The sequence below is a fragment of the Homo sapiens genome, chromosome 5, assembly GCF_000001405.40.
Source record: "Homo sapiens chromosome 5, GRCh38.p14 Primary Assembly".
In the NCBI taxonomy this organism is placed as follows: Eukaryota; Metazoa; Chordata; class Mammalia; order Primates; family Hominidae; genus Homo; species Homo sapiens.
In genome coordinates this window covers 72166255-72184174 of record NC_000005.10, presented here as the reverse complement: position 1 = coordinate 72184174, position 17920 = coordinate 72166255, and the positions used below count along the sequence as shown (strand labels likewise).

The following is a 17920-nucleotide window of genomic DNA, read 5'->3' as shown; positions in this document are numbered from 1 at the left end:
GGCCTGAGGGCTTGCGTCTCTTTTCCCTAATACATCCCTATCAGACTCCATCCCAGCAGCACTCCCCACCACCCCCAGCATAAATACCCCAAATTCATACTCCCTTGCCTGGACAAAATCTTACAGTTCCAGCTACTATCTTCTTCTTTGTCCTTATCAGGAGGAGTGGTCTGGATGGTACCGATGCAGGGAACCAGCCACTTAATGGGGGTTGAGAAAGACCTCTTAACCCAGAACTTCTCTCTGTTGTGTCCCTCTCCTGCCCCCATTTGCCCAGCCCTTCTAATCCACTGGGTCCCTATCCAGTGTGTGGGGCCCGGCCCCAGATTCTACAGAGCTGAATGCTTACCTCGGTGCTGACTGCTTCATCAGAAGGGTTGATCAGGACCACTGTTTCTAAAACGTCACTTCGGTGATGAAGGATCTTTTGTCCTGCAGGCACAAAAACACAAACAAAAGAGGAGACCTTTAGCTTTTCCAGATAAAAACTGCCCTGCCTGCTCCTGGGACAGCAGAGGAATTTCTGCCTCCGACGTGGTACACAGCACTGAAATTCTCTACATCATCTTGGGAAACACAATTGGTGCTATTAAAAAAGAGGGTGCAGCCACTAGTAGGTTCCTCCCCAGGCTGGGTTTGTGTGGTCGGGGGCTCCTCCCGCTCTCACACTCTCCAGTTTTCAGGGTCGGTCTAGGCAGCCTCCTTGCGGTAATGGCGGTTTTCATCTGAGACAAGGGTGGGTGCCAGGAAAACTCAACGGGGCTCTTGACATTTCCTTTCTCATGGTAATTGGGGATGTTTCTCCGTATCAGCCTTTCTTCTGGTGAGAACTGCACTGAGATTAATTAGGAGCCTTATTGTGAAATGAATGACATCCAGAAACCCCAGCTAACAATTAGCCCAACAACCAGAATGGCTGTCTGAGGCAGGCTTACAGTCTGTTGGAGTATTCATTAATTAATTCACTTGCTCATAGGAAACTGGAGACACCGTAAGCAAATGAAAAGTGGAGAACAACCCTCCCATGAAACAGGGTGGCCAAACTGCCTCCTAAAAACATGCACAGTGGACAGAGAACAACAAAGCAAGGCGTTGGTGTGATGACCGCCTGTCTAAGGAGGGCTGAAACCCTGCGGGGCTGTGGCTCCACAACGCTGACTCCCCCTGCTCACAGGTCCTAGGGTCATTCGGTGGCTGAACCAGCCCTCCAGCCAAAGTGGATGGAGACCTGTGCATGACCTTCTATGAAGACTCCCCCTCCCTGGACAATGGGATGAAATGATCAGGCAGATGTGTGGCCCAGTTGGTGATACATGCTTGGGCAGCTGCTAAGGACAGGGAAGTGGGTGTTCTCTCCGAAATGTGGGAGGGAGACGCATGGTTGGGAGGGTAGACACAAACATGTCTGCTGCTTGGAAGTACAATGACTCTCAGGCAGCAGGAGGAAATGGAAAAGAATCTGAGAGAGGCAGACACCAGAGGAGAGAAATACAAGAGGAGAGAATGACCAAAAGCAACTGTTTTCTAGAAAAATAGTTGGCCAGTTCTTCAAAAAGCTAAAATAGAATTACTGTATGACCCAGCAAGCCCACTTCCAGGTGGATTTGAAAGCAGGAACCCGAACAGATGCTTGTATGCCAATGTTAATTGTAGCATTATTCACAATGGCCAAATGGTAAGACAACCCACATGTCCATCTATTGATGATTGGGTAAAATGTGGTATATCAATACAATGGAAGATTATTCAAACATAAAAATGAATGAAGTTCTGATAATGCCAAAACATGGATGAACCTAGGAAACATTATGCTAAATGAAATAAGCCAGACACAAAAGGATAAACATGGTGATTCCAATTACATGAAATCTCTAGAATAGGCAACTTTATAGAGTTAGAGAGTAGATTAGAAGGTTCCAGGGACTAAGGGAAGGGGAATGGGGAGTTATTGCTTAGTGGGTACAGTTTCTGTTTGGAGTGATGAAAATGTTTTTAAAATAGAGGTGATGAAGGCCGGATGCAGTAGCTTATGCCTATAATCCCAGCACTTTGGGAGGCTGAGGCAGGAGGATTGCTTGAACCCAGGAGTTCAAAACCAGCCTGGGCAACAAAGTGAGACCCCGTGTCTCCAAAAAAAAAAAAAAAAAAAAAGGCCAGGTGCGGTGGCTCATGCCTGTAATCCCAGCACTTGGGGAGGCCAAGGCAGGTGGATCACGAGGTCAGGAGTTCGAGACCAGTCTGGCCAACATAATGAAACCCCGTCTCTACTAAAAATACAAAAAATTAGCCAGGTGTGATGATGTGCACCTGTAATCCCAGCTACTTGGGAGGCTGAGACAAGAGGAGAATCGCGTGAACCCAGGAGGCAGAGGTTGCAGTGAGCCGAGATTGCACTATTGCACTCCAGCCCCGACAACAGTGCGAGACTCCGTCTCAAAAAAAAAAAAAAAATAGCTGGGTGTGGTGGCACACATCTGTGGTCCCAGCTACATGGGAGGCTGAGGCAGGAGAATCAATGGAGCCCAGAAGGTCGAGGCTGCAGTGAGCCAAGAACATGTCATTGCACCCTAGCCTGGGTAACAGAGCAAGACTCTGTCTCAAAAACTTGATAAAATAAAAAAAGAGGGGATGGTTGTACAACCTTGTGAATGTAATTAATGAAACCAAGTTGTACATTTAAAAATAGTTAAAACGGCAAATGTTATATTTTATCGCGACTTAAAAATTAATAATATACCAAAAAACATTCACTAGTACACTATAAATGGGTAAATTGTATGGTATGCAAACTAGATCTCAATAAAGCAATTAGAAAATAAAAAACATAAAGCAGTTCAGGATACACTGGTTCTTTTTCCTTTATATCAGGAAGGACCAGAAGTACTACAGAAACAGCAACATGTTGAAATACTCACCACCAACCACCATCACTGTTACCAAGCCCATTCTCCCCCACCATCCTACTTTCAGTAACAGCTAACATTTACCAACAAACCCCACATCACAGACAGAAGCCTAAACAGAACAATGATGATGTCAGGCACCGTTCTAAGACTTCACATACATGGCTTCGTTTAATCCTCAGAAGAGTTCTGTGACATAGCTACTATGATTATCCCCCTTTACTGTCGAAAGCAATGAGTCTACAGAAGAGAATTAACCTGCCCAAAGTCACACAACTAGTAAGTGGTCAAGCCAGGATTTGGACCCGGGTCACCTGGATCTAGAGTCCTTCTGCTTCACTGCCCTATGGGGTTGGTTACTGGAACTAAAATTTGTTAAAACAGACAAGGCACAGACACCAAATGCCAAAAGACAGTTAGGGAAAGGTCCAAAGAAATAAAATCAGAGATGAGCTTACAAAAGCAGGAAGGCAGAAAATATTAAGAGAATATTGGCCAAAAAAAGGCAACGGTGGCAGAATACCCCACATAAAAGAAGTTAAAATTAAGAGAAAATATGTGATGTCTTACTCCAAAAGCCTAAAAATAAACTCCAAAACAGAACAAAGTCCCACAGTTTGAGCAGACAAAGAACGGAGGCTTAAGAAGAATAAACCACAGGAAAGAAAGTTCATTTATTATGAATGCTAAATACTGTAATTTATTGGACATTGCTTTTCGGCTTTTTGGTTGTTTTTGGTTTTGACAACCATGTGCATTTAAAGCAAAAGAAAATCAAATTAAATAAGAAAATGATAAAATGAAAATTGGCAAGACACATGAAACTATCCTCTTTCTAGGTCTTTCCATCAGTGGTCTTCTTGAAACAAAGATTTCAAGAGCTTCAAAGGCACTAGGTTGAGATGAAATTAAGCAAAAGCTTAAGACCAAGGAGAAGGAATAGTCATTTCTTTGGTCACAATTTTGTTGTGGGCACCCAGAGCATCAGCCAGTGCAGTGTCCGGGTATGACTGTCATCACGTCTGTATTCTGCAGGAATCCATACAAGTAGACTTGAGCAAGGTACATAAAGTGGCTCCCTCCACAAGTGATGGTAATGAAATCCCAGCCTCTTTCTTTCTGAAGTGATCCTACACAACGCCCTGAGCCCGCTAGCTGCACCCTTCAACACCCATGTCCAGGCGACAGCAGCCTGCACAGTCCACCTGCCTCCACAGCACGCTCTTCCCCAAACACACAGTGAGCTCGCCTGCTGCCGAGGTGGCCCCTGGCAGGAGCCTTCTTACCATCCACCGGCAGTTCCTTTCCTCTTTGGCTTCATCAGTTGCAAACAAAACAAATGCCACGTGACAGTTGCCATTTACCTCCACTCCTTCCAAGTCAATCTTCAGACCAGTTTGCCCAGGAATTCAACTAACGATGTTCTCTTTTGTCCATCTTTGGAAATATTGAGAGGAATGGCACAGACGTGCACCAAGATGCCATGGCTGCTCCTTCAACAAAAGCCTTTTTATAGGATCGGATTTGAATGAAGGAGGGGATTTAAAGGGAGAGAGAGAAGCTTCCAGCTCTTGTCACGGCCAGACTGTTGGCCAGATTCTTTCTGGGGACGACGTAACCTGGGGCTGGGCCGCCCCAGCATCTGGCCAAGCCTGGCAGAGGGGCCCTGACGCGCCCCCACCCCTGGCATACCCGTGGGTGCCAGCTTTCCTGCGGCAGGCGGGCGGGTTCTCAGCGCAGGCGGCTGGGATGCTCACAAAGTTGCATATTTGGGGAATGTTTCACACTGGGAAACGGGCCAGGCATTCTGAAGGGAGGCCACCACCCTGGCTTGTAAAGGTCTCATTCAGTTGCCTCAGAAAAGAAGTTCCCAGGAAAGAAAGGCAGCCGGGTTCCAGCCTCTCTCTCCACCATTGTAGTCCGCATTCTCCATTCGACACCTCACAGGGAAACCCTTAGGCAGCCCCATGAATTGTTAACTTTCCCCGGCATCGGTCTGAGGGCAGCAAAAGCGGGGGCTCGACCTGGAATGATTGTGTCACTTATCGCTTCATAAGAAAAAGTCTTTGAGGGCTTCCCCACAAAACTCAGCATGATTGTGAAGCCTCGACCTGGGTGGCGGGGCGGGGGCAGTGGAGAAGATTGTGTGTGACAAAAGGGGTCCGCGCCACCTCAGAATCAAAAGAGGACAGTCTAAGGACCCTCGAAGCAGGAGGGGCCTTGCAGACAATGAGACTTTTGTTTGTGCTCTCCCAAAGCTGGGTTTGGAACTCAAAAGGAAGCCTGCATTTTTTGGCTGTTGTTGGGATTTTATTCCTTTTTGAAAATGTGACAGATTAATTGAACCTATGTGTCTTATAAGGTTTGGCTTTTTTAGTAGCTTATGTTTTGCTACATTCAGCTGATTCTGAAATCTCCTAAAGCAAAATATTATTTTCTATGTATGTAAATTTCTAGGATGCTTGCGGGATCTCTTCTCCACAGAGTTTAGCATTCATCTACACACACACACACACACACACACACACACACACACACACACACACCCCTCAGAGGCTTCACCCTGGTTTTGGAAGAAGGAAATAGAAATGGTAGTTGAAGAATAAAGCAAGCCTCTGATTTCTACTCAGTATGAAAGGGAGATGATGAGGAGGGTCCTGAACTATTGGTAACCAGGACTGAGGGGCAGGGCATGGGCAGGGGCTTTAGCCAGGAGAAAAGCCGTCCTGTCCCCATCTCTGCCTCCCTGCTCTGTCAGCTCCCACTGCTGCCCTCTCTTCACCTACCAACTACTTCCAGCCCCCTGCCCAGGTTCAACACTGGAGTAACTTACAATGTGAAGATTCTGGAGTTAGAGAGAAAAATGTGTGAGATAAAAAAGGACTGGGTTGATTTAGCTAAAAGTAAAGTTTGGTCGATCAAGAAAGACCACAAGCACTAAATGTCTTGATTTTAAAGTCTGTTTTTCAGGCCAGGCACGGTGGCTCATGCCTGTAATCCCAGGACTTTGGGAGGCCGAGGCAGGTGGATCACTTGAGGTCAGGAGTTTGAGACCAGCCTGGCCAACATGGTGAAACGCTGTCTCTACTAAAAACACAAAAATTAGCCAGGCATGGTGGTGCATGCCTGTAATCCCAGCTACTTGGGAGGCTGAGGCACGAGGATCACTTGAACCCGGGAGGCAGAGGTTGCAGTGAGCTGAGATCATGCCATTGCACTCCGGCCTGGGCAACAGAGTGAGACTCCGCCTCAAAAAATAAAAAATGAAGTCTCTTTTCATTAGAAGGAAGAAGAGAAGGAGGGAAGGGAGGAAGGAAGGAGGGAAGGAAGGAAAAAAGAGAGGGAGGAAGGGAAGGAAGAGAAAATGATAGAGTCAGAGTTATTCAACTCAACCTCTTTACCAAAGTAAATTTTTTTGAGCGGAAACCTCTAACCTCTAACCCCTCGTGCAAAAAACACTCTTGAGAGTAAAATTTAGCTAAATGGCTAAGAGCAAGAAATGAAAGGTGCTTGGTACAGGAACTAAGAATTAATAACTAACCAACAGGTCTCCCAGAAGCTTGTAATAGCAGCTTATGGTGTGAAATCATTTCCAGCTCCAGGCCTCCTTTCTGCAGAAACCCACATGGCAGGTAAAGCAAATGTGTGGTTGATTTGAAGAGAATGGGAGCTGGTGAGGCAGGAGGGGAGACGCCTGAAGCAGCAGAGTTTTGTAGTGAACCTTTTCTTCCAGAGCCCCTCACAGAAGTCTTCTCTATCCCTGGCAACTAACGCTGGGGCCCAGAGGCCTGGCCGGAAGGAATCCCCAAAACTTCCTTTTCAGAGGGAGGAAAGGTACCAGCAAATAAGGAAGCCTCACAAGCAGCCCCCAGGTGGTTCTCCCTGTGCCCCTCCATCCCACCACATCATTTCTAAGCACGAAAAACAGAGAGGAAGAGAAAGAGGTGAACATAGTTTACCCAGTAACCATGCTCTGAGAAGCTACAATGAGCGGCTCTCCATCCCAGGTGCCCCAGCTTAGAGCTCCGGAGAGGGTCCAGGAGAAGGATCGAGGCAACCCAGCCTAACAGAAGACTTCCTCGGCTCCCCTGGAGCAAAAACCTACCTCAGCCCTGAGGGAGGACATGATCCCAAAGCAGGGTGAGACACAAAACCCTCACCCCTGCCACAGAGGTGCTGTTAGAAAACAAAGGTGGTAGGAGACTTGGTTCTAATTCCACGGATCCCCAAAGACCAATAGCATCAGCACAGAAAACAGAAGGCCACCTGTTACCAGGAAATTACACAGAATCTGTCTCCAGGGAAGTAAAACTCCTAGCCCTGGAGGTAGCTGGATTTCTCAGGGGTCCTCTGCATCAAATTAACTCCCCCAATCAACTCATTCATCTTTTCGCATTCATCCGCTCTTGCACATCTCAGCCTGAGGCTTGGAAAAGAACTTTTTCTAGGCTGGGTGTCTCAGAGGCAACAGGGAACATGAACAAAAAGGTGGCAAAAGCATAATTCAATGTGCGTGCTGGTTTTAAGGTCATGCACACATTGGAGCACGTTCTATGTGCCAGGTGCCATCCCTCCTGGGTCCAAAAATGACTGAATACAAGGCTAATACATAGAAATGGGTAGTGACAAAATCTAATCCTTTGATCACCAGAGAGTCCATCACCAGAACACAGCAATAAAATCTTGCATGTGTAGAGTGCCTTAGAGTTGCCAAAGCATTTTGTCCTTCAGGTAGTTCTTTGTTTTGTCTCACAGCATTTTTATGAAGTAGTGGGGCAAATATTATCTTCTCTTCATGGACGAAAGAGCTGAGGTTTACTGACTTGACAGTGTGGAAGAACAGGCCTGGGGACCCTTGTCACGCTCCATGAGGCCACTCAAGGCCAAGGTCAGTGCTGTGACACTATTCCTTTCTCCTTTTCCTGATCCACTCCCATCCAAAATAAAGATTTTCAAGCTGTGATGCCAAGATTCTCCTTTGTAAGAGGTAAGTGTGCAGCCAGGGTTGGCTGCTGGTCAGCCAACGCCTGCTGAATTGCCTAAGTGTGTGTGAGTGTGTGCGTGCACACACGTGTGTGTGGACCCAGCAGGGCACTATGGCCTCCCACACACGCCCTGAGGGCAATTCCTTCTTGGTTTCTGCTGAACCATCAGCCAAGTTCTTTCCCACCTTCCCCTAATATTCCTAGAAATGACATTTCTTTTCTGTGGGAAATAAATTTTTGTTTATGTATCTGTTTCATCTCTGAAAATGTTCCTGAATCTATGGCTCTCCAAATTTTGAACACTTGTTTTCTTAAGAGAATAAAAAAACTCAAGTTCAGGAGACTTCGCAAATAATGTTCTTTAGTTTAAATAAATTGATCATTGCTTGTGAGTTAGACAACATTTTTTTACCTTGGATATCTTTTGTGTTACAGGGAATTTAGTTATTACCTAATTTGAGTCTATACCTAATTTTCTCTATACTTCCTGGACCTTGTGGTTGTTAGTTTTCTTTTTGTTGTCAGTGGTTTTGGTTTGGTTTTCCATGTGCAGGATTCTCATTTGACCTGCTTTCTAAATCCTCTCTTCGGTGTTTCTCTCCTACCCAGTCCCATTCTCTTAGGTTTTCCTCTTCCTTTTTTTCTTCTCCCTATTAAAAATTCTCAAGGCAAAGGGATGAGAATCAAGGATATCAAGGGTTAAGGTGAAAGACAGTGGAAGGAAGAAGTTTGCTCCCTTTTTCTCTGTTTTATCCTCTGGCTGAAAGAAGTAGAAATAAATAACGTAGATGGTGTTGAAACTTGGGCTCCCTGGAGGGCACCTAAGTAGAACCAGCAAAGCCCAATCCTGGCACCAGCTGTGGTTGATAAAATAGCCTAAGGGTTACATCTTCAACAAAGTACAGAAGCTACAGATTAAAAATAAAAATAAAAAAGGCACATGGAGTGAAGGGTGATGGGGTAACCTGTCAGGTGAGCCAACTCCAGGTCTCTTTAAATACAGTGACCAGCCTGGGCAATATGGTGAAACTCCATCTCTACAAAAAATACAAAAATTCGTCAGGCATGGTGGTGCACGCCTGTGATCTCAGCTACTCGGGAGGCTGAGGTGGGAGGATCACTTGAGCCCAGGAGGTTGAGGCTGTAGTGAGCCGAGATCACACCACTGCACTCCAGCCTGGGCAACAGAGTGAAATCCTGTCAAAAGAAGGAAAAGGAGGAAAGATAGAAGGAAGGAGGGAGGGAGGGAAGGGAGGGAGGGAGGGAAGGAAGGGAGGGAGGGAAGGAAGGAAGGAGGGAGGGAAGGAGGGAAGGCGGGAAGGAAGGAAGGGCCAAAGAGGGGAAGGGGGAAGGGGGAAAGGGGGAAGGAGGGAAGGAAGGAGGGAGGGAGGGAAGGAAGGAAGGAAGGAAGAAAGGAAGCAGAGTTCAATGCCTATTTGTGTTGGTGTTTGCTTCACCATTTCCAAAGCACTTTCTTCTGTGTCCACTTACTTAAGCTCTAATGACAGGGTTCCAAGTCTCTGATTTGGTTTCCTCCAGGCTGAGACAAGGTGGGATCTGTGAGTGCCCTGTTCTCTAAGCAAAACCTGCTGCAGACAAAGGAAAATACACATGCCCCTCAACGCACAAGAAAGGAGTCTCCTCCTCTGCATGTAAAATGTAAGGGGTCCAGCAGCCAAGAAGGAAATGTGGCCCCCGCAAGCCTAGCAGGATTTGTCACTCATACAGTGTAAGAAATCAGAATTTCCTCACCTCACAGAATGGGAGGACCTGAAGGAGTCCTGGCGACAATTTCGTCCCCTCTCTCTTCCTCTTGTTTTACAGAAGAGAAAACTGAATCTCAAAGACGAGGAGTGGCCTGTCATAGGCATTTCCTATGCATATTGTGGTCAGTTCTATTGGAGAGTGGGTACTAAAATAGTAACACTACCCTTCATTTGTGATGGACTTTATGGTTTATACAATTTTTTATTTTCATATTACCTCATTTGCATATCACAAAGGTCAATGTTTATCATTCTTGCTATTTTATAGATGGACAAATAGAAGCTATTGGGACAGGTTCCTCAATAAGAGTTAGCTGTCTTGTCCAGCATCAGAGAGACAAAATAAGCTACTGAACTAGGATTTATCTGTTTATTTGTTTATTTATTTTGAGACGAGGTTTCTCGCTCTGTCACCCAGGCTGGAGTGCAGTGGTACAAACATGGCTCACTGCAGCCTTAACCTCCCGGGCTGAAGTGATTCTTTCACCTCAGCCTCCTGAATAGCTGGGACCACAGGCACAGGCCGCCATGGCTGGCTAATTTTTTTGTACTTTTTGTAGAGATGAGGTTTTGCCATGTTGCCCAGGCTGGTCTCGAACTACTGGGCTGAAGCAATCCTCCTGCCTTGGCCTCCCAAAGTACTGTGATTACAGCTTGAGCCACCACGCCCAGCAGGAACTAGGTTTTAAATCCAGTCCACAGGACTCGTGATCCCCACTCTCTTTTCACTGTCCCTCACTGCTTCTCAGATTGTTTTAAGTGTTTACGAGGTCCAGATCCTTAATCTTTAAGAATAAGATCTGAGGTACATTATCCTCAGAATGTTATAGAATAATCCCAGCATTTGAGATATGGATCTGGGAATTATTTTTGTTGTGATGAAACCCTGTGGTGTGCCAGGTGCCCTGTGCAGTATTAGGTAAAACCAAAAGATTACCGATATCAGCTATTTTTACCACAAAAAAGCCACTTTCACATGGTTAATTAGACCTGACTTTCTTGAGACTAGAGTAGGTTTCAGACACCTTTTTAAAAAAATCTTCATGGTCTTCTCCTGCTTTTGTATTTCCTATTTGTTAAAACAATGTGAATTACTTATAGAAGACATGGTTTTCTGGAGGTTAATTCAGGCAAATTAGTGCTACGTTCATAAACTGAGCACTGAGATTAAAACATGAATGAGATGCTACCCCTATCCTGAAGAAATACGGTTTAAACAGGAGACAGTGTTTTTACAGTTTCTAAATCAGGAATCGTAAGTCATAAGGAGGGTCTGATACACAGCAGATGCGCAATCAATATTGCATAAAGGGCTGAATAAGAAAAATGGCTAAGGTATATTCAAGACCTGACCTAAGCTCTTTATGTCTGTGATCTGATGTAATGTGCACATTAATGCTATGAGGAAGCCACTATCCCCATTGCACACAGGAGGCAAAGGCGGCACAGGGCAGTGGAGCAACAGCCCAACGGTCTGCATTAGTTAGTAGCGGAACTGGGATGGAGACCAGGTGTTCAGTATCCAAAGTCCAAGCTTTCAACTAATAAGCTATTCTAAAGGGAAGCAGGAAGACAGATGACAGAGAGTTTGCTTGGAGGCATGCTGAGTTTGAGGTCCCTGTAGGATCTCCAGATGGCTCTGTCCAATAAGAGGCAGAAATGTGGCTCTCATGCTTGGCGCTAGGCTTGGCCAGAAACACAGATGATGAATACCTTATTGATCAATAACAACATAATAAGTGACCTCCTTTAAAATCATCCTCACATGATTTTTATGTATTCCTATCCTAATACCTGAACATATTTCTAGCATTATTTCCCTTGGGAGCAAATGTAATCATTAAAGGCTCAAACAACTTTTCCCAGTAAATATTGATTCTTGGAGTCACTTGACAGGTTTATCTGATATTTAATTTGCCATCAAACTACTGCCATTGATCAAATCCAGGGAAATGGTTGACCTTTCACCCTCATCTGTTATTATCAAACCAAATCATCAAACTATTATTCGGTCTCAAAACCAGCTGCCTTTTAAAAACAAAAATCTAATTAGTCTTTTTTGGTATTTGGCTATTGAAAAGAAAACCAAAAAAAAAGAAAAAATGCAAATGGCCGACATAACACATATTAAACCTAGAATCTACTGATTTCCATCCCTCAGAAAGTTGTTAGCTCTAGGCCAGGGAGAAATAGTATGAGTTGATTTTTCCCCAGTAAAACTGCGAGGGGGACAATATCATTGGTAGTGGCAGCATCAGGCTGGGCCACAGCAACCAGCTTGGTGATTGGCCAGGAAGGGACTTCTTAAGGTCAAGATCCTGACCAAAAAGGATGAGGTTCAAGACCTGAGCTCTGGTCCTGGCTGAAGTGGTGCCTCAGCTGCCACCATCTGTAATAAGTAATGTACAGGTGGACACTCAGGTCCTGCACCCCAGCCAGGATGAATAAATCTGGTCATATCATTACAGGATTTGACATAAAGCCTTAGCCCAACCCAAGGGACCTGTGATTTTTGTTGTTTGTATGAATTGTGTTTATTCCTCCACTGCATCATTTCAAAACTCCACTGCATCATTTCAAAGGGTGAGGTGGAGATGGATCATTCGTAAGTGACGACAGAATCAGCACCTACGCATTTCCTCTTTGCACGGTGCCTGTGTTGTTCAGTCATGGCTGGATGCCTAGCTGCCCAGAACAGCACACCCGGTTCCCAGTGACCTTGGTTCTTCCCTCTTCCAGACCTGAAGGGTGATTCTCGGCACACCAGGGGCACAGTCCTGATTCTACTTTCCTGTTCTTTATCCTTAGTTACAGGCCCTGTCTGGGAAACCAAAATGATGTCTCATTTAAAGCCTAGTTCTCAACTTCTCCCATTTGGGTTTGATTGAATCCCAAACACGTTTCTTCCACTTTAAAAAAAAAATTTTTTTTGAGGGAGGGTCTCACTCTATCACCCAGGCTGGAGTGCAGTGGCATGAACATGGCCCCCTGCAGCCTCGACCTCCTGGGCTCAAGTGATCCTCCCAACTCAGCATCCCCAAGTAGCTAACACTACAGGTGTGTGCCACCATGCCCAGCTAATTTCTTCTGTTTTTTGTAGAGATGGGGTCTCACTATGTTGCCCAGGCTGGTCTCAAACTCTTGGGCTCAAGTGATCCTCCCACCTCAGCCTCCCAAAGTGCTGGGATTACAAGTGTGAGCCACTGCAGCTGTCCTTCTTACACTGTTAAATGCCTTTTCTTTAAACTCTTGGCCCACAGATGGTCTTTCAAGACCTCGACTGCATCTTCAGGCACTATCCTTTGCTATGTTTATCTCAAAAATGTCCCCCGAAAAGCCACCATATTTGCTCATGTTTTCCTCTTTACCCTTTTTCCTTATTCTGAGCAGGGAAGACTTCAGTCTTTTCCCCCTTTCACTTTACCCTTTCCTACTCTATGTTGTCCTGACACGCAGCAGCAAGAGAAGGGTGTCACTTTTGAAGGCTTGATAAGCTACATGAACATAAAGCTTTGGATAGATATTCTAGCCCTATATATTAAACATTATTTTATGTTATTTTATTTTATTTTTGAGATGGAGTTTTGCTCTTGTTGCCCAGGCTGGAGTGCAGTGGCACGATCTCGGCTTACTGCAACCTCTGCCTCCTGGGTTCAAGCTACTTTCCTGCCTCAGCCTCCCGACTAGCTGGGATTACAGTGACCTGCTACCACATCTGGATCATTTTTTGTATTTTTAGTAGAAACAGGGTTTCACTGGTCTCGAACTCCTGACCTCAGGTGATCCACCCACCTCAGCCTCCCAGAGTGCTGGGATTACAGGCGTGAACAACCGCGTCTGGCTATATTAAACATCAAAGAGGACCACGCAACAAGGTCTTGGCAGGTTAACTGTTCTGATCACCTCTTCAGAGGCTCTGCCACAGGGGATACTGAGCCACTGTGTATGGGATAGTCCCAGCTCCTCTCGGTGGGCAGAAGGAGGAGAAATTTAATAAAAGAACTTTCTCCAACTAAACCTTTCACCACTTCTCCTTCAACCAAATCCAAACCCTGTATTTCAGCAGTAAAAGATTTATTAAAAGGCTAAATAAAACATTTAGTAAAGGGTAAATGCTTGCACGAACTATTGAGTACTCTCTTGGAAACATCATACAGAGAGCTGACCTTCTTGTAAAAGCTTCCCTTCATACCATTGTTTTTAGAGCAGATAAAGAGATGTGAAACCCAGCTTGCTGCTGACTCAGGCCTATGGAGAATCATACTTTGACGGATAGGATGCAGGCCCTTGGCTTTTAAATTAGCCATTGAGTTTTCCATTTCACCTAATAGCATTCAACTTAAAGAGCCATACTACTAAAGCTTACATGAAATAGACTGGTAATTTACAATGCTGATGTGTTCATTTAATTTCCACTAACAGGAATCTAAATTTTTAGTAAATCAGATATTCATGCCAGTTGGTCACTGCATTCATTTTTTGCCCTAGTGGGATACTTTGCTTGAAGGTTGTTTTAAATAAAGAGTGTTGTTTGGTGATAGAATTTACTGTGCCATAAAATAAGGCATCATACCTACTTAAATCTAATCCATTTCTTACATGTTCAGCTCATATTTTTATTTCCTCAGGGAGTATCTCTCTGTCCACTTCAATTCCCAGAGTTGTCTCTTATCCCCAAATTCTGGTATAGCAGTTAACAGTCTCTATACTATATAGCTCAATTAGAGGATGTACATAGTATTTATATGAGCTATTGCCTCCAACCAACTTATAAGACTCTAGTTAACAAAATGCTTTTACATACTTTCATGTACCTCTCATTGAACTTCCTGTGAAGGTGGCAATTTCTATGTAAATCTCACAAAGCCTAGATCCGAGCCTTCCACCTATAGGGATTTAGGTGATGACAATCTTTTGCAAAAAAGGACAACTAAAAATATAGATACCCATAGTTACACACAAACACTCACTCCACTTCTGAATGGGATTTAACATCATAGTGTGGGTTGAAATGTGTGTGTGATTCAATCCACACTATTATGTTAAATCCCACTCAGAGGGATTTAACAAGCAAAGTAAACAATCAAAGTGTGATTTGCTTACTTTGTCTTTAGAAGTAAGCAAATCAGGTGATCTACCTTCAGGATCTGAAAAATATACACCTGGGCCATCATTAGAAGAAACCCACTGCCATGCATAAATAATTAAAAAGAAGACATTGCCTAGCTCTTTTCAAGTGATTAGGGCCAAAAACTGCCCCAAAGTGTCAGGAGTTGTTTGTGTGTTTGGTTTTCTCACACGCGCATTGGATTTTGCCTGTGGTCATTCTGCCACCCCTTAAGATCTCTTAAGGAATTAAAATGAGGCATCGTTAGATTTCATTTTGATTTTATATTCAACGACAAGGTCTTCACAAGGTCACTATTAATGGGGTGCCACAGTATGCCCCCAAACCATATTTTTTGCTGAAGGTTGATTTCTTACCTTAACAACCTATTTTTTATTTGTTTTAAGATGAGTACCGTTGACCTCTGGGATATTATAATTGAAAGAATACATCTGCTTATTTAGGAAAATGTGATGTAGTAAACCAAAGGAATTAAGTTCTGGGCCATATATTTAATTAATGGTTTACTTAACAAACAGAGATTTGTTTCTGAGGCAATTCAACCAAATCTGGCCAATGGGCATTTTCAAGGCATTGATAAATGTACTCTGAACCAACAGACGTAGCTCTCCTGAGAAACAGGTCTGAAACCCATGACAAAGAGCAAGTCAAACAAGGTAGTCAAATAAATTCTGTCCTCTTCTATCTTCTTTTTAAAAGACTGAAATTTTAGTTTAAAATGAGTCCAAGGAGGGAGGGAAATAATCTGGGGACTTTGGGGAAAATTGCCCTTGAGCAAATCCCCAGATTTTAATTTCCATGAGAAGTAACAAGTTCTCTTAAGAAAGGCAGCATGCATAAAATCACTTTCTACATTCCTGTCTTGCATTATTCTCCATTGGGTATTTTTTATGTATTTATATACACTTGGAATATATGCAATGATCCATATGTATGCTAATCAAAGTTCTTAGAATGTATTACTCTTTGCTCTTTCGTAAATAAAATAGTATAAATTGGGAGCATATTTTGTCTCTGTAAAAATGCCAACAGGTAAGCCGGCCCTAGAGAAAAATGGACCAAATCAAGCTCTGCCAGAGCTCTGGAGTTTAACTGAAAGAAAGAACATCTGATTCCTGCCCAGAAAGCAACACTGAACACCTCATTTATTTTGGAGCAGAGGCTGTTGCTGGAGAAGCTGGAAGGTGAGATGGAGCACCCTAAGGTTGCCGAGGGCACCACTGCTCAGTGTAAACTCAGATATCTGGAAAATGCAAGGCTTCAAAGTTAAGGATTGGAAAGGCAGGAGGTGAGCAAGCCTGAGGCCCTCCTCAGCTCAGGGCCTTGGCCAAGCGACAGGAGCTGGACAGGGGCAAGAGCCAAGTGGAGGAGCAGTGCTTTCCGTGCGTCAGCTATCCCTCCAGAGGAGAGTCTAACCACATTCCCGACTCCAGTTCTCTTTATTCTCATAATTCTTAAATGACAGAAGATGATGCCTTAATGTGTTATCTACATCGTTCTGAAAAATACTTGCATTTCCTTCCGTCACATCTAATCAAATTCATTATAAAAGTTCCTGTTTCGTAACTACAAAACTGCTCTAAAGAATGTTACTTTTTTATTTAAAAAAAATGAAGGGTTACTGGGGGAAAGAAAGTCTACTTATCAATACTTCTTTTGACTCCAATGACAAAGTAAAATATATTTCTCATTTCTGGTCCATTCTCTTTCAATATAAAATGTCTGTGCACTCTTGCTTCATTAGACAAAGCATTCCTTTAATATCTTGGTCTGTTTTTATTTGATTTAAAGAATGACAGTTGCAAAAGGATATCTAACGGAACACTAGAGGTACACAGCTTGGCACATACAAAATATTCTGAATGAGTTTTCTTACAGATGGATGATTCTTTTAAGTGGGCTCAGTTGTGTGCTTTCCCCAGTTTGCATCTGAGTCTTGTGGTCAACTGAGAAGTGTCTTGTTCAGAACAGTAGTAGAGAGAGAACCAGCTCATACTGTCTTATTAATATTTTCTGGAAGCTCTGATAATTACTTTGGAGTTTCAACTTAACTTGCTAACTTTCTAGTCCTTGGGGGTAAAATTTTTGCTTCTTGTTTTAAAAAAAATCCAATTAACAAATTGCAACCTATGAGATAGATGCAGTGAAAATCAACCCAAATAGGAAATTCTGCTCAATTATTTTCCATATGACTTGCATGGACCAGGGAGGTGCTGATTTAGCAGAACGCTAAACCATGATGTAAATTTGGATCCCCTGTTTCCCTTTGTTCCTCCTCTCTCTTTTGTAATGTCTGCATTTTGGCATTTCTGCATTGCCTCTTTGGTTTCAGAGCTTTCTCACCGAGCCATTTCCCGTGGAAAAAAAAAAAAAAAAGAAGGAATATAGCAATTAGCATACATTATGTGGCTGTACCAAAAGCTATACTCACAAACATGTCTGCATGACAGACAAGTGGGCTGTGTTTCATCTTGTTTCCTGGACTGCCCCGTCCTGCCCACAGTCTGCCATTTGCCAACGGGAAGAAGCCAGCCCTTCCCTTCCTCCACCATCAGCTTTCCCAGCACTGCGCGCCAGTCAGCTTGCGAGCTCAAAGTACTACTTAATGAGTTTTTAATTCAGTTTTGACTCTGGAACCCAGCCAGCTACTGCTGCCTGGGGCTTGCATTTCCCTTTACACATCCTCGGCGAATAGTCATAAAGACAAGACGCTTCACTGTTGGATTTCTACAGGGAGGATTAGCTCGGCCTCGGGCCTCACATTATCACCAGGTCTTGCTGGCTGCAGACAAAAAAAGGGCTAAAGGGAGTTATCTCACAGAGCCAGGGGGAGAATCAGGAAGACACCTCTGAGTGCTGGGAAGCTGCTGTCTCGACCTCTCTAGGGAGTGAACACTGCTGTTATCAGTGGGCCACAGTTCAGTGAGAACTAGACTACACGGAATATTTTGGAGGCCAAATTTACATGCATTTTTACAAACAGATGCCCATCGTGTACCGGGATCCTGGAATACTCCTCTCCACCAAGGTTCCAGTGGCCACTTCTTTCTCTCCCCAGAGGCTGGAAAGGGGTCTGCACACTGCCCTTACCTCCCTGGATTCTGTTGACGATCATGAAATCAGTGCTGCTTAGGGAGG

The 17920-nt window shown here is 44.2% G+C and overlaps 1 protein-coding gene and 1 non-coding gene across 3 annotated transcripts in view, besides 1 other annotated feature; both read right to left on the bottom strand.

Moving 5' to 3' along the window:
* Nucleotides 1–17920, bottom strand: part of MAP1B (microtubule associated protein 1B) — a 102091-nt gene that overhangs the window by 25391 nt on the left and 58780 nt on the right. The window contains exons 1-2 of one of the 2 annotated variants that reach the window (NM_001324255.2): nucleotides 4268–4388; nucleotides 350–432 (exon numbers count right to left, since the gene is read on the bottom strand). Coding sequence is in view for 1 of the 2 variants with exons in the window: in NM_005909.5 (NP_005900.2) it covers nucleotides 350–432 (83 nt within the window). In the remaining variant the exon portion in view is untranslated. Of the gene's footprint in view, nucleotides 1–349; nucleotides 433–4267; nucleotides 4389–17920 lie in introns of those variants that run through there. The other variant, NM_005909.5, reaches the window with a different exon arrangement.
* Nucleotides 3910–4499: an enhancer, noted in NCBI's record as "H3K4me1 hESC enhancer chr5:71475503-71476092 (GRCh37/hg19 assembly coordinates)". NCBI's record gives its function as "activates a minimal SCP1, AML or CMV promoter by ChIP-STARR-seq in naive H9 embryonic stem cells {active_cell/tissue: H9 hESC(naive)}" and the evidence as "EXISTENCE:reporter gene assay evidence [ECO:0000049][PMID:30033119]".
* MIR4803 (microRNA 4803) lies at nucleotides 14635–14708 on the bottom strand. The gene has a single exon (NR_039967.1). It is a non-coding gene; the product is annotated as a microRNA 4803 (primary transcript).